This window comes from Homo sapiens, chromosome X (genome assembly GCF_000001405.40).
Source record: "Homo sapiens chromosome X, GRCh38.p14 Primary Assembly".
Taxonomy (NCBI): Eukaryota; Metazoa; Chordata; class Mammalia; order Primates; family Hominidae; genus Homo; species Homo sapiens.
In genome coordinates this window covers 14,783,467-14,798,205 of record NC_000023.11, presented here as the reverse complement: position 1 = coordinate 14,798,205, position 14,739 = coordinate 14,783,467, and the positions used below count along the sequence as shown (strand labels likewise).

Sequence of the window (14,739 nt, the reverse complement as noted above, 5' to 3'; positions counted from 1 at the left end):
CCGCATTCCAGCCTGAGCAACAGAGTGAGTCTCTGTCTCAAAAAAAACAAAAACAAAAACAAAAAAAAAACAAAAACAAAACAGGAAAGAAAAGCATTTTGAATTTTATAAAGTTCTTTAATGATACTGAGTTTTTTATCATAGGAAGTTTTCACACCCGCTTGCATGATATGGTATAACATTAAGGCTGACAAATTGCCCATCACAGGGCTGTGTGCTTGCTTGCTAAGGTCTTAGAGTTATAAGAGACACAAGAGTGGATGCATATGATAGAGGAAACACTTGGCTACCCATTAGAATCACCTAGGGAGCTTTTACTCATCACATACCAAGTCAAAAAGGCTAGGGGTGGTAGCCAGTATAAGTATTTTTTTAAGCTCCCGAGATGTGGTTTTAAAATATATCCACAAATTCTTTGATATTCCTTTCTTCAAGAAGCAAAACTTAACTCCCCCCTCTTTGAGAGTGGGTTAGATTTAATGACTTATTTCTTTCTCTCTCTCTCTCTCTCTCTTTTTTTTTTTTTAATGGAATCTCACTCTGTTACCCAGGCTGGAGTACAGGGGTGCGGTCTTGGCTCACTGCAACCTCCTCCTCCCAGGTTCAAGCAATTCTCCTGTCTCAGCCTCCTGAGTAGCTGGGACCACAGGTGCACACCAGCACACCTGGCTAATTTTTATATTTTTAGTAGAGATGGGGTTTCATCATGTTGGCCAGGCTGGTCTCGAACTCCTGACATCAGGTGATCCACCCACTTCAGCCTCCCTAAGTGCTGGGATTACAGGCGTGAGCCATGTGCTCAGCCTAGTGACTTGTTTCTAACATGAGAATATGGTAGTGACTGTGTGTGATTTCCAAAACTTGGTCGCAAAACATATTGAGACTTCTATTTGGTTTTCTTTTTTAGATCACATGTTTTGGGGAAAGCCAGCCAACCTGCCATGAGGACACTCAAGCAGCCCTAGGAAGAGTCCTACCTTGCAAAGATCTGAGGCCTCCTGCTAACAGCCAGCAAGGAATTGAGGTCTTTGTGATGGTTAATTTTATGTGTCAACTTGACTAGGCCAGATATTTGGTCATACATTATTCTCTGTGTGTATGTGAGAGTATTTTCAGATGAGATTAACATTTGAATCAGTAGGCTGAGTAAAGCAGATTGCCCTCCTAATGTGGGTGGGCCTCATCTGATTGATTGAAGACCTAAACAGAACAAAAAGGCTGAGTAAGATGGAACTACTTCTGCCTGACTACTTGAAGTGAAACATTGGTCTTTTCCGACCTTAGAACTCCAACTGCCAGCTTTTGGGCTGGAATCAACACCACCAGCTCTCCTGGTTCTCAGGTCTTCAGACTTGGACTGGAACTATATCATTGGCTCTCCTGGATCTCCAGCTTGCTGACTGCAGATCTTGGGACTACTCAGCTTCGATAATCATGTAAATGAGCCAGTTCCTTATAATAAATCTCTCTCTCTCTCTCTGTGTATATGTGTGTGTGTGTGTGTGTGTGTGTATATATAGACGTGTGTGTGTGTGTGTGTGTGTATATATGCACTTAGAATTGCCTTTCCAGCAATATATATAATATATATTATGTAACATATATAATATATAATATGTAACATATATATTATATAATATATAACATATAATTTATTATATATAACATATATAATAGATTATATATGTTATATATTATATATGTTATATATATAATATATGTTATATATATAATCTATTATATGTGTTATATATATAGAATCAATAGGAAAAAATATATAAAACCAACCAATAGGATATATGTATATCCTATGTGTGTGTGTGTGTGTGTGTGTATACATACACATATATCCTATTGGTTCTGTTTTTCTGGAGAACTCTGACTAATACAGCTTTCTACCAACAGCCACGTTGGAAACCCCAGTCAAGCCTTCAGATGACTAAAGCCTGAACTGACATCTTGATTGCCAATGTGCAAGAGATGCTGAGCCAGAACTCCCAGCTAAGCTACTTCTAAATTCCTGACCCACAGAAAGTATGTGAGACAGTAAGTGCTCATTGTTTTAAGCTACCAAGTTTTGTGGCAATTGGTTACACAGCCATAGGTTACTACAACCATAGGTGATTCCAACATGTAGCCAAGCTTAAGGACCATGGCCTTAGTCTTCTGTCAATAAAAATCATGAAATATCTGCCTTTTAGGCACTCAAAGGGATCTTAACCACTTATTTGTATTATAAGGCACCTATCAAATGTCTAGCTGAAGCAACAGATCTGTAGTGCTACCTCTTTTTTACTCCTTAATATTTTCCAGTTTCATACTCATGTCCCATCAAACCCTCTATCAGCAAGCTGTATGGCTGGATCATATTGCATTGATGTCTCTTTCTTCTGTGCACTCAGAATTGCCTTTCCAGCTCCGGTAATTCTGTTCTCTTGTGTTTATGGTGTAGACATCTTTGTGTTTGGGACATAATATTGTTCTAAATATCTCTGCTTGTTTGAAACTTTCCCCTTGATTTTCAGAAGAAAATTTCACAGGAAAAATAATAGAAGTCATTAAACAGAAATTCTCTCAATTGTCTTGTCATCCAATTGCATTTGCACGCAATCTTTCTTCTCCTCTAGCTGTTACATTTGAAGAGTCATGTCCCCTTTTCATAGGTGAATCTTTTCACCTGTGCTGTGCATCACACCCTCTCTCCTCAAGGGCTGGTCTGCATCTTCACCCTTTTCCTCTCTTCTGGCTGCTTCTCATTAAAACTACTCATGATTTAAGACCATTAAAGACTGGCTTCTCTCTGCAGCTAAACTGTAGTCTTCTAGAAGGCAAGGGCAGTGTATTGTCAATGAAAGTGCATTAAATATATGAGTGAATGCATTAATTTTGAAAACATTTCAACATTTAATGGAATATAGTTACTGTTTGCTAGTGTCTACCCCAAAATTTGTATTTCGTTTTGTTGAAATGAAAAACTAAGATGAAAATTAAAGCCTTTTCTCCAGAGATGTAGTAGAAGGATCAAACAAATGTACTAGATTTAAAAGAGAGATGTATCTGACTGGTGGTCAGCTACCAATTTGGCTACCTAATGACCACTTGACAGCCTTTAAAGCATTGTGTTGAAATTGAAAAGCTGGCAATCCAGGACACCCTTTCTCTTATTGCTGCCTAAGTGTTCTTGACTTCTCAATTCTCTTTATTCTGTAGAGTCAAAAAGGCATGTTCACTCAAAGAGCCTAATGAAATGTTTTCTGGGAAGCCAAGTAACAGCTATTGTCAGGTGAAAGCATCACTATAGCAGAGTGGCTATGGTCCTTCTCAGTCGCACCTTTTATTACCTTCCCCTTTTGGAATATAAACTACAAACAAGCTACATTGGATTTTTCCATCACACCCAATATTGTGCCTATTCTCTCCCCACTCTACAGACTTTTTCTGGATGAGCCCACCTACTGCAATGACTGTGTGACTTAGAAAAGATCAGCAAGACACAGAGGGAAAAGCATAGGCTTCACATTTAGTGAGAGTTAGTTGAATCCTGGCTCTGCAGCTTACTAGCTATGTGGCTTCTGGAAAGTTACTTAATCTCCCAGAATCTCTCAGGGTTTTCATCAGTAAAAATAATGTACAGCTCAGAGTTGCCATGGACATTAAATGAAATAATTTTGAAAAACATTTATTATGTTGGCAGTTTAATTGTCTTCCATATTCATGATGACTTCCAAAATATATGTAGCTCCAATTTTCCCTTTAATTCAAACCCATGATTCCAACTGCATATCTCAAAGTCATCTCATTTTCAACATAGTGACTCAACTCATTATTTTACCTTTCATCCTTTCCCCTCTGGTGTTCTATAGTTTAATAGCAACATCACAGCCACCCAACATAAAAACTTTTGCATCATCTTCCATCTTTCATCATTCTTTCCTTCAGTCTTCATCCCCAGGATCTGTCAGTTAACAAACTCTGTTGATTCTGCCTCTAAGATACGTTAAAAATCAAAGCTCTCCTCCTCTCCACATCTACTGCCTTGGCTGGGGCTGTCTTTGACTCTTCAACCTGGACCATTACCTAGCTGTATGTAAAAGTATGTAAGTATCTGCTTACATACAAGACACATTTGTAACAGTGTCCTAGAGCCTACAAAAAACAAACAAACAAACAAAAAACCAGACAAACAAACAAATAAGAGCAAATTTAGCAGGACATATGAAATCTTCCATGTTCTGGCCTAAACTCACGTTGTAACCTCATTACCCATAAATAACTGCTGTCCTCTCATCTCCTGCCCTTCCATACTTCCCATTCCATCTCCTTCTTCAACCCAAATATTGTTTCTTCCATGCCCCTTCTGACTCCTGACTCACTGAAATACAAGTTACCACCTCTTCCTCTATAATTGCAAAGCATATTTTATATAGCACTACTTTAAAAAAGAAAAATCACACTCCACTTTGCCTGGCTTCTGTGTTCAACTCAAGATGGGAGTTTCATCCTTGTCCTCTCTCTACGCGTGTTAACTCAGTATTTGATTTCTGTTTAGTGAATGAACAGCTTAAGACATTACAGAGTTAGAGATTAATTGAATTTCTTGCTCACTGACACAGAAAATATTGCTATTGGATTTTGAAAATTTGATCTTTTTTTCGTAACAGCTTTATTGAGATATAATTCACATACCATACAATTCACCCATTTAGAGTATACAATTCTATGGTTTTAAGTATATTCACAGAGTTGTGCAGCCATTACTACAACCAATTTTAGAATATTTTCATTGCCCCTAAAGAAACCCTATACCCTTTAGCTTATACTGCTAAGCAGCTGCCAATCTACTACACATTTGCTAACTCTAGACATTTCATATTAATGGAACCATACAATATCTGGTCTTTTATAATTGGCTTCTTTCACTTAGCATAATGTTTTCAATGTTCATTCATGTTATAGCATGTGTCAATACTTCATCTCTTTTTATGGCTCAATATATTATGGGTTTTTAATCTAAATTTAAAGACTTAAATTTTTTACATATCAGTGAGAAATTTTACATGTTAAGAAACATACATTGATTTATTTCCTTCAAAAAATTCAATTGCTTGGCTTATTGAAATAAAGATAAATTCCATTAGGTAAATATGGAAGAAGAATTGATTAAGTCATAACCCACTAAAACACCAATGAAACTTGTAATTGAATAATTCATTTGGAAATGTAGAATTAGCTACAAATTCCTCTAATTTTATTTTATGTTATGTTTGGCCTGGGATAGTAAAAAACTATAAATTGAAAACATGATAAGGAGAATATATAAAGAAATAAGTCAGATATCATAATAAAATCTCCTCTAAAGAATGATGGTAACTTGTCTACCGTGAAATACAACTAATGCCCTCGGTTGCCTTCTACTTTGGAAATTTTGTGAAAGGGAAGAAAAAAATTGTCTTACAATGTATTTTAGAATGTATTTCTATATACATGAGAAAGTGTGTTAGAAAAAGGCAACTCTTTACATTTCTTCTCCTACAATATAAATATGGCACATTTTCTTTTTAAATTTACAGTATTATAAGTGAAAATATTATGTAAGACAAAATATCTGGGTTACTTCCAACCTACTTTTTGTGTTTTTAATTCTTGACTCCTTTTAAAATAAGACAATATATTGAATTTTTGAATTGAATATATTGATTTTTTTTAATGGTGCATTGATTTTGAAACACTGCCTCTGCTTCCACTTGGCCAGCAGGGTTTAACATCTATATTCATACCAGGAAATTGCTTCACTTCGAGGAGGGACAGCTCAGCCAGGTGGGGAGGGAAAGTCAGGTTCTAACCAAAGTAGGGCATGAGAAAGGCGTCAATGGAGAGCCTTGCTCTTTTTTCAGATCAAATTTATTCAGCATCTTGAAAAAAATCCTCTCATTAATTTGTGCACATATCTCTTTTGAGATTGATGTTTTTGGAAGGAAAGTACAAAATGACAGTGTCTGAGAGGAGTGCTCTTAGCAAGATATTCCTGACCCAGTTAAAGAATCTTAAATTTCAGGCAAAAACTAATGCTCCCGATGTTCTTGGCAGTTCTATCATACATTTTTAGTGAATTCATTATAACTTTTAAAGCTTTTCCAATGTAAAAGATTATGAATATAAATGTAAGATTTTTAGGTATGACACAGTTGTCATCCATCTTTTTGTTTTTGTCATTCTTACCCTAAAAGAAATGGAGGCTGTTCTGGAGATCAAGCTGTTAAAATGTCCCCCTTTCAAATGTGTTAACAAATGTAATTGCTTCATATAAAAAAGGACATGGGATCTTAATGGCTGCCTTGGGAAGAAAAGGTATATTAACAACTGAGAGAAGAATAGGAGGGTTTATCATTGCTTCAAATATAATGAACATAGAGAACAAACCCTATGACAGTGTAGGTTATAGTTCTAGCCATTGCATTTGTATTCCATTTGCATTCCCTTTCTTTAGGGAGAACTGAGAAACAAGAGGCTAATCTGTCACCTCAGTATGTCCACAGTCTATGAGCTCTGTAGCAGATGTCTTTAGTGCTTGTGTCAGTGTCACCTCCCTTGCCTGCCTGTAATATCAGCCATAGCTGTGTTGCTCAGTTCTTCCCATGCTCAGATTTCACACAGCAGTGTCTGTATTAGTTTGCTAGAGCTGTTGTTACAAAGTACCACAAACGGAGTGACTTACTCAGCAGCAATTTATCATCACCAGTCTGGAAGCTGGACATCCAAGATCAAGGTGTCAGCAGCCTGCACTCCCTCCAGAGGTGCTAGGGAAGGGTCTGTTCTAGTCCTCTCTCCCAATTTCTAGTTCCTTGGGTTGTGGCAGCATAACTCCAATCTTCACATGACATTCTCCTTGTGTACATGCGTGCATCCAAATTTTCCTCTTTTATAAGGACACCAGTCATATTGGATTAGGACCAACCATAATGACCTCATTTTTAACTTGATTACTTCTGTAAAGACCCTGTTTTCAAATATGGTCACATTCTGAGATAGGATTAGGTTTCAACATTTGAAGTTTGAGGAGACATACTTCAACACATAACAGTGTCATACCTTAAATTCACGCCTTGCTTTTTTTTTTCTCATGGTCTTCTCAAAGCTAAAGCTGTGGGGACCAGTTGGCCTTAGAAAGTGAGGTTGTTGGCATTTTGGGGGATAAACCTCAATTAATCAGGGATGGGATCCAGTGGAGAATGTACTAGCCTCTTCTCCTTTGGTTGGGCAATTCTAGGAGGTATTCTGTCTTTTCTCAGAAGTCCTGGTGCGACTGAGTCCTAATTGCTACAACCCCCACCCCACTAACCATCCCAATTTTGGCTTTCTCCTCTATCTCACTGGTCCTTTTCTCTTAGTACAACTTCTTGGGATCCCTACTCAATCAAATGACCAACACTCTTGTGGGATTATTTCCTTGTTTCAGACTCTGCTTTTGCAACACTCTAAACAGTCTGCCTTTGTTTTTCAGCAGGAAAACTAACTGATCCTCCCTCCATAAGGTTGCATCTCAATTCAGTAGGACAACTATGTGATCGCCCATAAGGCTGCATCTCAACATGATAGTAGTACCTGAAGTTATGATATGAAATATGAGAAAGTATATTTTTCTAGTCTCCATAAATTTAACCTGTCTTGCTAGCATGATTATAGTAGACATATAAAAAATATAACTATCACTGAAAATGCTGTTGAGATTCTACTCCCATATTGGCAGGTGAGAAAACTGAAGCTCAGAGAGTATAAATTGATAATTACAAGAAGTTAAACACAGAGATGTGGCTAGAACCTAGATTCTCTGATCTCTAAATTAGCATTTTTCCCACCACACACTTAATTCCTGTTGCCAGGAATATTTCATTAGTTAACAATGAAATATTTGTTGTTCCTTTCAGAGGGTGTTTTACAAGCTTTCAAGGTAATGGAATATAAATTTCTTAAGGACAGGGAAGATTCCCATTTATATTTGTGACAAATGGGGTTATGTCTTTCATAGAATGAGTCCTAAATAGATACAATGTTAGCTCCATAATGGCAGGGATTTTGGTCTGCTGTATTCACTGGTATATCCCAAGAACCTAGAATAGTACCTGCCACATAGCAGGCATTCAGTAAGCATTTGTTGAGTGAACAGAGGAATGCATACATTCTTATAAGAAATAATTGTTTCTGTCTCCTATTCCATCTATTAGATTGTCACTTAATATGCATTAATAATAGCACAATTCTACCTGTCAAAGAATGTTTTAGATTGTTTACATATATTCTTGATCTAATCTAATCCTCATGATATCCCTACAATGTAAGGAATCTGAGGCTTAGAGGAATTTAGTAACTATTCCAGTATCACCAGACTAATGATTGACCCTACCATGTCTTCACCATGTTACCTCTGATTAGCATGACATAAATAACTGCAGTGTCAATGCTACAGAAAATGGCACAAGGAGCTCTAATCATCACTCATATAATAAGCAGTCATCTTGCAAACATCATAAACTGAAAGGTGAAGGACTTAATCCAAGCCATTTCCAAACACTGAGTGTGAGGGAGCATGACGACTCATCATAAAAGCAGAAAGACAACCCTTATTCCTCCCTGCTGGGTTGTCTGTTGGGAGTCAATTTTATTAAACTGAAATTACTTTCATTGTTATAATTCTTATATTATTAAGTGTCATTAATTGTTGGCTTTTCTTAATTTGTTATTATTTTTATTATTTTTTGTAGAGGGAGGTCTTGCTATGTTGCCAGGCTGGTCTTAAACTCCTAGTCTTAAGCAGTTCTCCTGCCTTGGCCCCTCAAAGTGCTGGGATTACAGGTGTGAGCCACCGTACTGGCCTAATTGTTGGCTTTCTTTGTCCAATTTATTCTTTCTGAGAAAATAACATTCTACTGAATAATGGCAGGCAAATAAAATCTCTTCCTTGTGAAAGCATGGGGTCCCTTTGACAACCTGAGACAATATACCCCAGCAGTTAAGTCAAGGGCACTAGAGTTCACTGTTTGGCTTTGACAAGTTCCTTACCCCCTCTAATTTTCAGGTTTTACATCAGTAAGATGGGATAAGAAAAAGTACTGAGCTTATAGTGTTGTGGTATTAAATAAGATAATGAAATCAAAGTGTTTTACATAGGATAGGACCTGACTCTAAATGTACATACTGAAATAAATATTGCCACCATCACTACCATCATCATATTGAAGAAAAGTTCTTTTTTAATGACATGATACTGTTATTTGTTTGAAGAAAGATCACCTTTGCTGGGGTAGGGATGGTTTCCCTGGGTCTGCAGATACAACATAGAAGGTGAAAATTTCCAAGATGATCTGAGTTCCTTCTTATGTGATTTAGGGCCACTCTATTCCCTACAGCTGTGCTTTCTAATATGGTAGCCACTGGCCACATGTGGCTCTTGAGCCCTTCAAATGTGGCTAATGCAACTGAGGAACTAAATTTTTTGTTTTATTCAATTTCCATGTGTTTAAATTGAAAGTCAAATAGCTACTTGTGGCTAGTGGCAACCAGAATGGACAGCACTGTGCTTTATCATGCTGAGGCTGGGATTTTGCAAACCTTTGCCAGCTGATGCCGTGTTAGGCTCTGCCTATAGGGAACCCTAGAGAGAGATGTCAAGGTTAGAAGGAGGAGAAGGGACCTGCTCCTTTCTGTCCAACTCTGGTCCCATCAGTCGGTATCAGGACAGCAATGGTTCTTCACCCTGATAGTTGCAGTTGGTTCCAGTATTGCTACATTCCCAGAACTAGCGTCGTTGTATCCCTCAGAGATACCATGACCAGGCTGGGCAGTGCCCCTACCTTGGATGTCTGAGTCCGTATTCCACAGGGCTCCTCTAAACCTTTAGATTCCAATAACCTTAACCTCTTATGTAGTAGTGGGTAACTGCGTCAGTTTCTCCTGTTTTTCTTTTCAGTTCTCTGGCAACAAACAGTTCAATTCTCTGCATTAAATCCTTTCCATTAAAATACTTCATATAGTGTCTGCTTTCCAGCCTGGTCACAATACAGGCTTCCTGGAATCTCAGTCCCTCTCGGGCACATTTCTACAGCTGCCTGAGTAGAATGCAGCTCCAGCCCCGGGACTTGTCCTAGCACTTTCCTCTGACACAGTCTAGCCAGATTTCTCCTTTTCTTTTTGCTAATTTTTAACTGCAGCTTTTACCTAAAAAGGTTGAAGTTTTATTTAGTCATACCATACTTTTCTCACTGGATCTCAGTTTTATAATCATTCATATATATATATATATATATATATATATATATATATATATATATATATTCTATTTTTAAAAATTAGAGTTATTTATTATTATTACTATTTTTGTCTTGTCTTCTGGTTTTCTCCTTAGTTCCCTTGTCTAAGTCACGTCTGTTTCATTGTTCCTTTCTGTTATTTATACTAGGTTCATAAAAAACTAACAAATTAACTTTTTTATTTTTAATTTATAGATTTAGGTTTGCCTTTATTTATTTATTTAAATTGACAAATAATAATTGTAAATATTTAGGGGGGACAATGTGATGTTTTGATCTATTTATACGTTATAGAAAGATTAAATCAAGCTAATTAACATATCCAACACTTTACCTACTTATTTTTTGTGGTGAAAACATTTAAAGTCTTCTTTTCTAGTAATTTTGAAATATACAATACATTAATTCTGGTCATCATATTTTGCAATAGATCACTAAGTCGTATTCCTTCTAACTGAAAATTGGAACCCTTTGACCCTTTTTCCACATCCCCACCCTCATGTTTCCCCTTTTTCCACACCCCCACCCTCATCCCCTGGCAACTACCATTCTACTCTGTATGAGTTCGACTTAAGATTCCATGTGTAAGTGAGATCATGTGGTAGTTGTCTTTCTGTGCCTGGCTTATTTCACTTATATGTGCTTTTTTTTCTTTGTTCTTTTTGTTTCATATATGTTTTAAATGACTTTTCATAAGGATGGCAAGAATTGAATGAATCCCAAGGGGCATTGATGACAGACTTTAATCAATGAGGAAAATGGAAATTTTCCTCCCTCTCACTTCTTCATGTCTATTTCTCTGGCTCCCCCTCAGCAACCCCCTACCCTAAGTGAGGCTTGTTCTCTAAAGAAATTCACCATGTAGTGACTGAGGCCATATAAAAATTAACTTTTCTCAGAGTCATGGTCTTCATTTTGCCTTTGACCCATTTTCTTCACTGGAAAGTTTTTGCATTCTGACATTTCACTTCGTTTGACTCACTGAGCTCTAAATCCATGGTCTATGAAATATATTATTATTGGATTATAGACAGATTCTTCTGGTGTTATGTCATAAACCTGGAGACATTGGTACTATGGAGGTGGCAGCCAGAGCAAGGCTGATACCATAGTGTTCTCAGGTGGTATTGAACTTCTCAACATTAATGGAGGCCTGATAGAGATGATTTTGCTACCTCTTGGACAATTTTACCCCAATCTGCTTCTTGCCTACTAATTATGAGGCTCCTTCTCCTCACTTTCTTATTGCAGACATGGAAAATTTTCTTTTAAGTGCACTTTTCCTCAGCTTCCTTCCCTTGTCATGCAGGCCAAGAGACACTGAAAGGATAGGCATTAGCACAAATAGAGGGTTAAAAATGTTTTATTTCCTTTTGGGGCGTTCATTCATATGTCAGGTTCCATTCTTGGCAAGCAATGATAAAGAGAAGTGTCAGACCCCCACCACTTTTAGATAATGGGTCCACTATGCCACAGTCCTCATCTAGGGGTCAGGAAGAGTCCTCTCAGCATATTTAAGGTGCTGAGACAAGGCTTTTTTCAACTTTTAACCATTGCCCTTATAATAGATGATGCTGTGAATAATCCGGGTTTTCATTTAGGACTGAAGCGCCTATCTCCCCTCCTCCCCCATCTGCTGGGTGCTGCTGGCTGACAGCTCTCAGCAGAGTTCCTCTTTGGGAATTCCCTTTGGCTGAAGAGAGCTACCTGCCTGGTGCATCACACCTGATTTCCCCAGAGAAAGCCACAGCCTTTGACTAGTTGATGTAGGAGTATAAAGGCCCAGCCCCCTTGCTTCAAGGCAGGACAACTGAAAGGACCATCTGAGCTCCAGAGTGCTCCACCTGGGCTCAGCTGAGGCCATGGTGGTGAAGACATTGCAGTTAACTTCTCTCTGCAGTTAACTTCTCTCTCTGCTCAACTGTTTACTCAGACTTTTCTAGGCATTCCCAAGAGCACTCCTGTAGCCATGAGGTTTGGTACCCGGAGTGGTCTGAGAAAGCACACTCTAAAATGGAATCACCCACCAGCTTGCCAGCAATCAGGACCCCATCACTTGGGGGAGGTAAAGGTCAGACAGCATCTGGCGTACTGTAGTCCTGTGATTGTTAGAACTGTGATGGGAAGCTTTCATCTCCTGCAGCCAGATAAACGAGGGTCCCATCACAATATAAGCCTGCCAGGGAAGTGCTGGCCTCCCAAGAGAAAGGGGGACTATACCCCAAAGTTGCTGCCAGATCTGGTCAACATATGCTGCTGTTGGGAACCAGAGGAGGATTGTGCTACTGGATTTTGAGGACACTGGATCAAGGAAAGAGCAAAAGTTGGATCAAAGGGAGTGTATTGACTTAGGTGCATCCTCCTCTGATGCAGGATTTAACACTCGGTAAGAATGCAAGGAGAGTATGCTGATACACAATTAGGTTGGCTCATGGAAGCTTGGAGAAAGCAGTTACCTGCACCAAGTCAAGTAAAAATGGCAGAATTGCCATAGCAGGTGGTGTAAGAAGAGGTCAGAAAGCTCAAAGAAATGGGCACTCTAGCATGGATATACTGTAAGGCTAGAAAACCCAGTGTTAATTATATTCCTAATCCCAAGAACCTGTGCATATGTTACCTTACCCGGCAAAAGGGACTTTCTAGACGTGATTAACAATCTGGAGATGGAAAGGTTTTCCTGGATTATCTAGGTGGGCCCACTGTTATCACAAGATTCTTTTTATTCTTATTCTAAGTTCTGGGGTACATATGCAGGATGCACAGGTTTGTTACATAGGTAAACGTGTGCCATGGTGGTGTGCTGCACTTACAACCCATCACCTAGGTATTAAACCCAGCATGCATGAGCTATTCTTCCTAATGCTCTCCTTATCCTTTGCCCCACCCCACAGTAGGCCCCAGTGTGTGTTGTTCCCCTCCCTGTGTCCATGTGTTCTCATTGTTAAGCTCCCACTTATAAGTGAGAACATGCGCTGTTTGGTTTTCTGTTCCTGTGTTAATTTGCTAAGGATAAGTGACTTCCAGCTCCATTCATGTCCCTGCAAAGGACATGATCTTGTTTCTTTATATGGCTGCATAGTATTCCATGGTATATATGTACCACATTTTCTTTATCCAGTCTATCATTGATGGCATTTGGGTTGCTTCTATGTCTTTGCTATTGTGAATAGTGCTGCAGTGAACATATGCGTGCATGTGTCTTTATGGTAGAATGATTTATATACCTTTGGGTACATACCCAGTAATGGGATTTCTGGGTCAAATGGTATTTCTGGTTCTAAATCTTTGAGTAATCACCACACCATTTTCCACAATGGTTGAACTAATTTACATTCTCACCAACAGTGTAAAAGTGTTCCTATTTCTCTGCAACCTTGCCAGCACAAAGATCTTACTAAGAAGGAGGCAGGAAATTCAGAGAAGAAGATGAGAGGACAGAAGCAGAGGTTGGGGTGATATGATTGCTGGTTTTGGAGATGGGAGAAGGGAAGGAGTCATGAGCTGAGGAATCCAGGTGGCCTCTGGAAGCTGGAAAAGGCAAGGGAATGAATTATCCTCTAGGACCTCCAGAAAGGAATGCAGCTCTGCTCTGCCCTGCCAACACCTTGACTGTAGCCCAGTGAGACCTGTGTCAGACTTCTGACCTCCAGAAATGTAGGAGAATACATTTGATATATCTTTTTCTTTTTTGAGACTGAGTTTCGCTTCTTGTTGCCCAGGCTGGAGGGCAATGGCGTGATCTCTGCTCACCGCAACCTCCGCCTTCCAGGTTCAAGCAATTCTCCTGTCTCAGCCTCCCAAGTAACTGAGACTACAGGCGCCCACCACCATGCCCAGCTAATTTTTGTATTTTTAGTAGAGATGGGGTTTCACCATGTTGGCCAGGCTGGTCTCGAGCTCCTGACCTCAGGTGATCCGCCTGCCTCGGCCTCCCAAAGTGCTGGGATTACAGGCATGAGCCACCGCGCCTGGCCTTGCATTGTTTTAAAAAGCCACTGAGTTTGTAGTAATTTGTTACAGCAACAATGGGAAACGAATAATTAATACAGACATGTATTGCTAACAAGGCACATTTGCATTCCTTGGCATTTATAGCTGTTGCATTCAAGGTAATGGGGCAAGCATCCAAACACTCCTGTCTTTTCTTGTAGTCAGGCTTGAACCTTTTCATATTGAAATATGTGTTGTTTTATTGTGAATTCCATTCTTTTTATATATTCTTACCTTTTGGGTTCAACATCCTTAAGATCTGTTCCCAGAAATATCCCCAATTTTCTATCTTAAAGCCTCCATTGTATAAGCCTTCTCTTCCCTAGTTTGATTCCACACTCAAACCCTTTCCAGGCATGCTAGAATCTGATTATGGTTATTGACTGAGCAACAATAACTGGTGGGGTACAAATTACTTTGTTCTGCAAGGCAGCATAATCAGGCC

The 14,739-nt window shown here is 38.9% G+C and overlaps 1 protein-coding gene across 5 annotated transcripts in view; it reads left to right on the top strand.

Moving 5' to 3' along the window:
- The window catches only part of FANCB (FA complementation group B), a 183,546-nt gene that overhangs the window by 74,864 nt on the left and 93,943 nt on the right, over window positions 1–14,739 (top strand). For 4 of the 5 annotated variants that reach the window (XR_007068184.1, XR_001755674.2, XR_001755672.2 and 1 more), the window contains 3 exons: window positions 908–1,024; window positions 1,285–1,436; window positions 1,906–2,046. Coding sequence is in view for 1 of the 5 variants with exons in the window: in NM_001410764.1 (NP_001397693.1) it covers window positions 908–1,024; window positions 1,285–1,436; window positions 1,906–1,939 (303 nt within the window). In the remaining 4 variants the exon portion in view is untranslated. Of the gene's footprint in view, window positions 1–907; window positions 1,025–1,284; window positions 1,437–1,905; window positions 2,579–14,739 lie in introns of those variants that run through there. The other variant, NM_001410764.1, reaches the window with a different exon arrangement.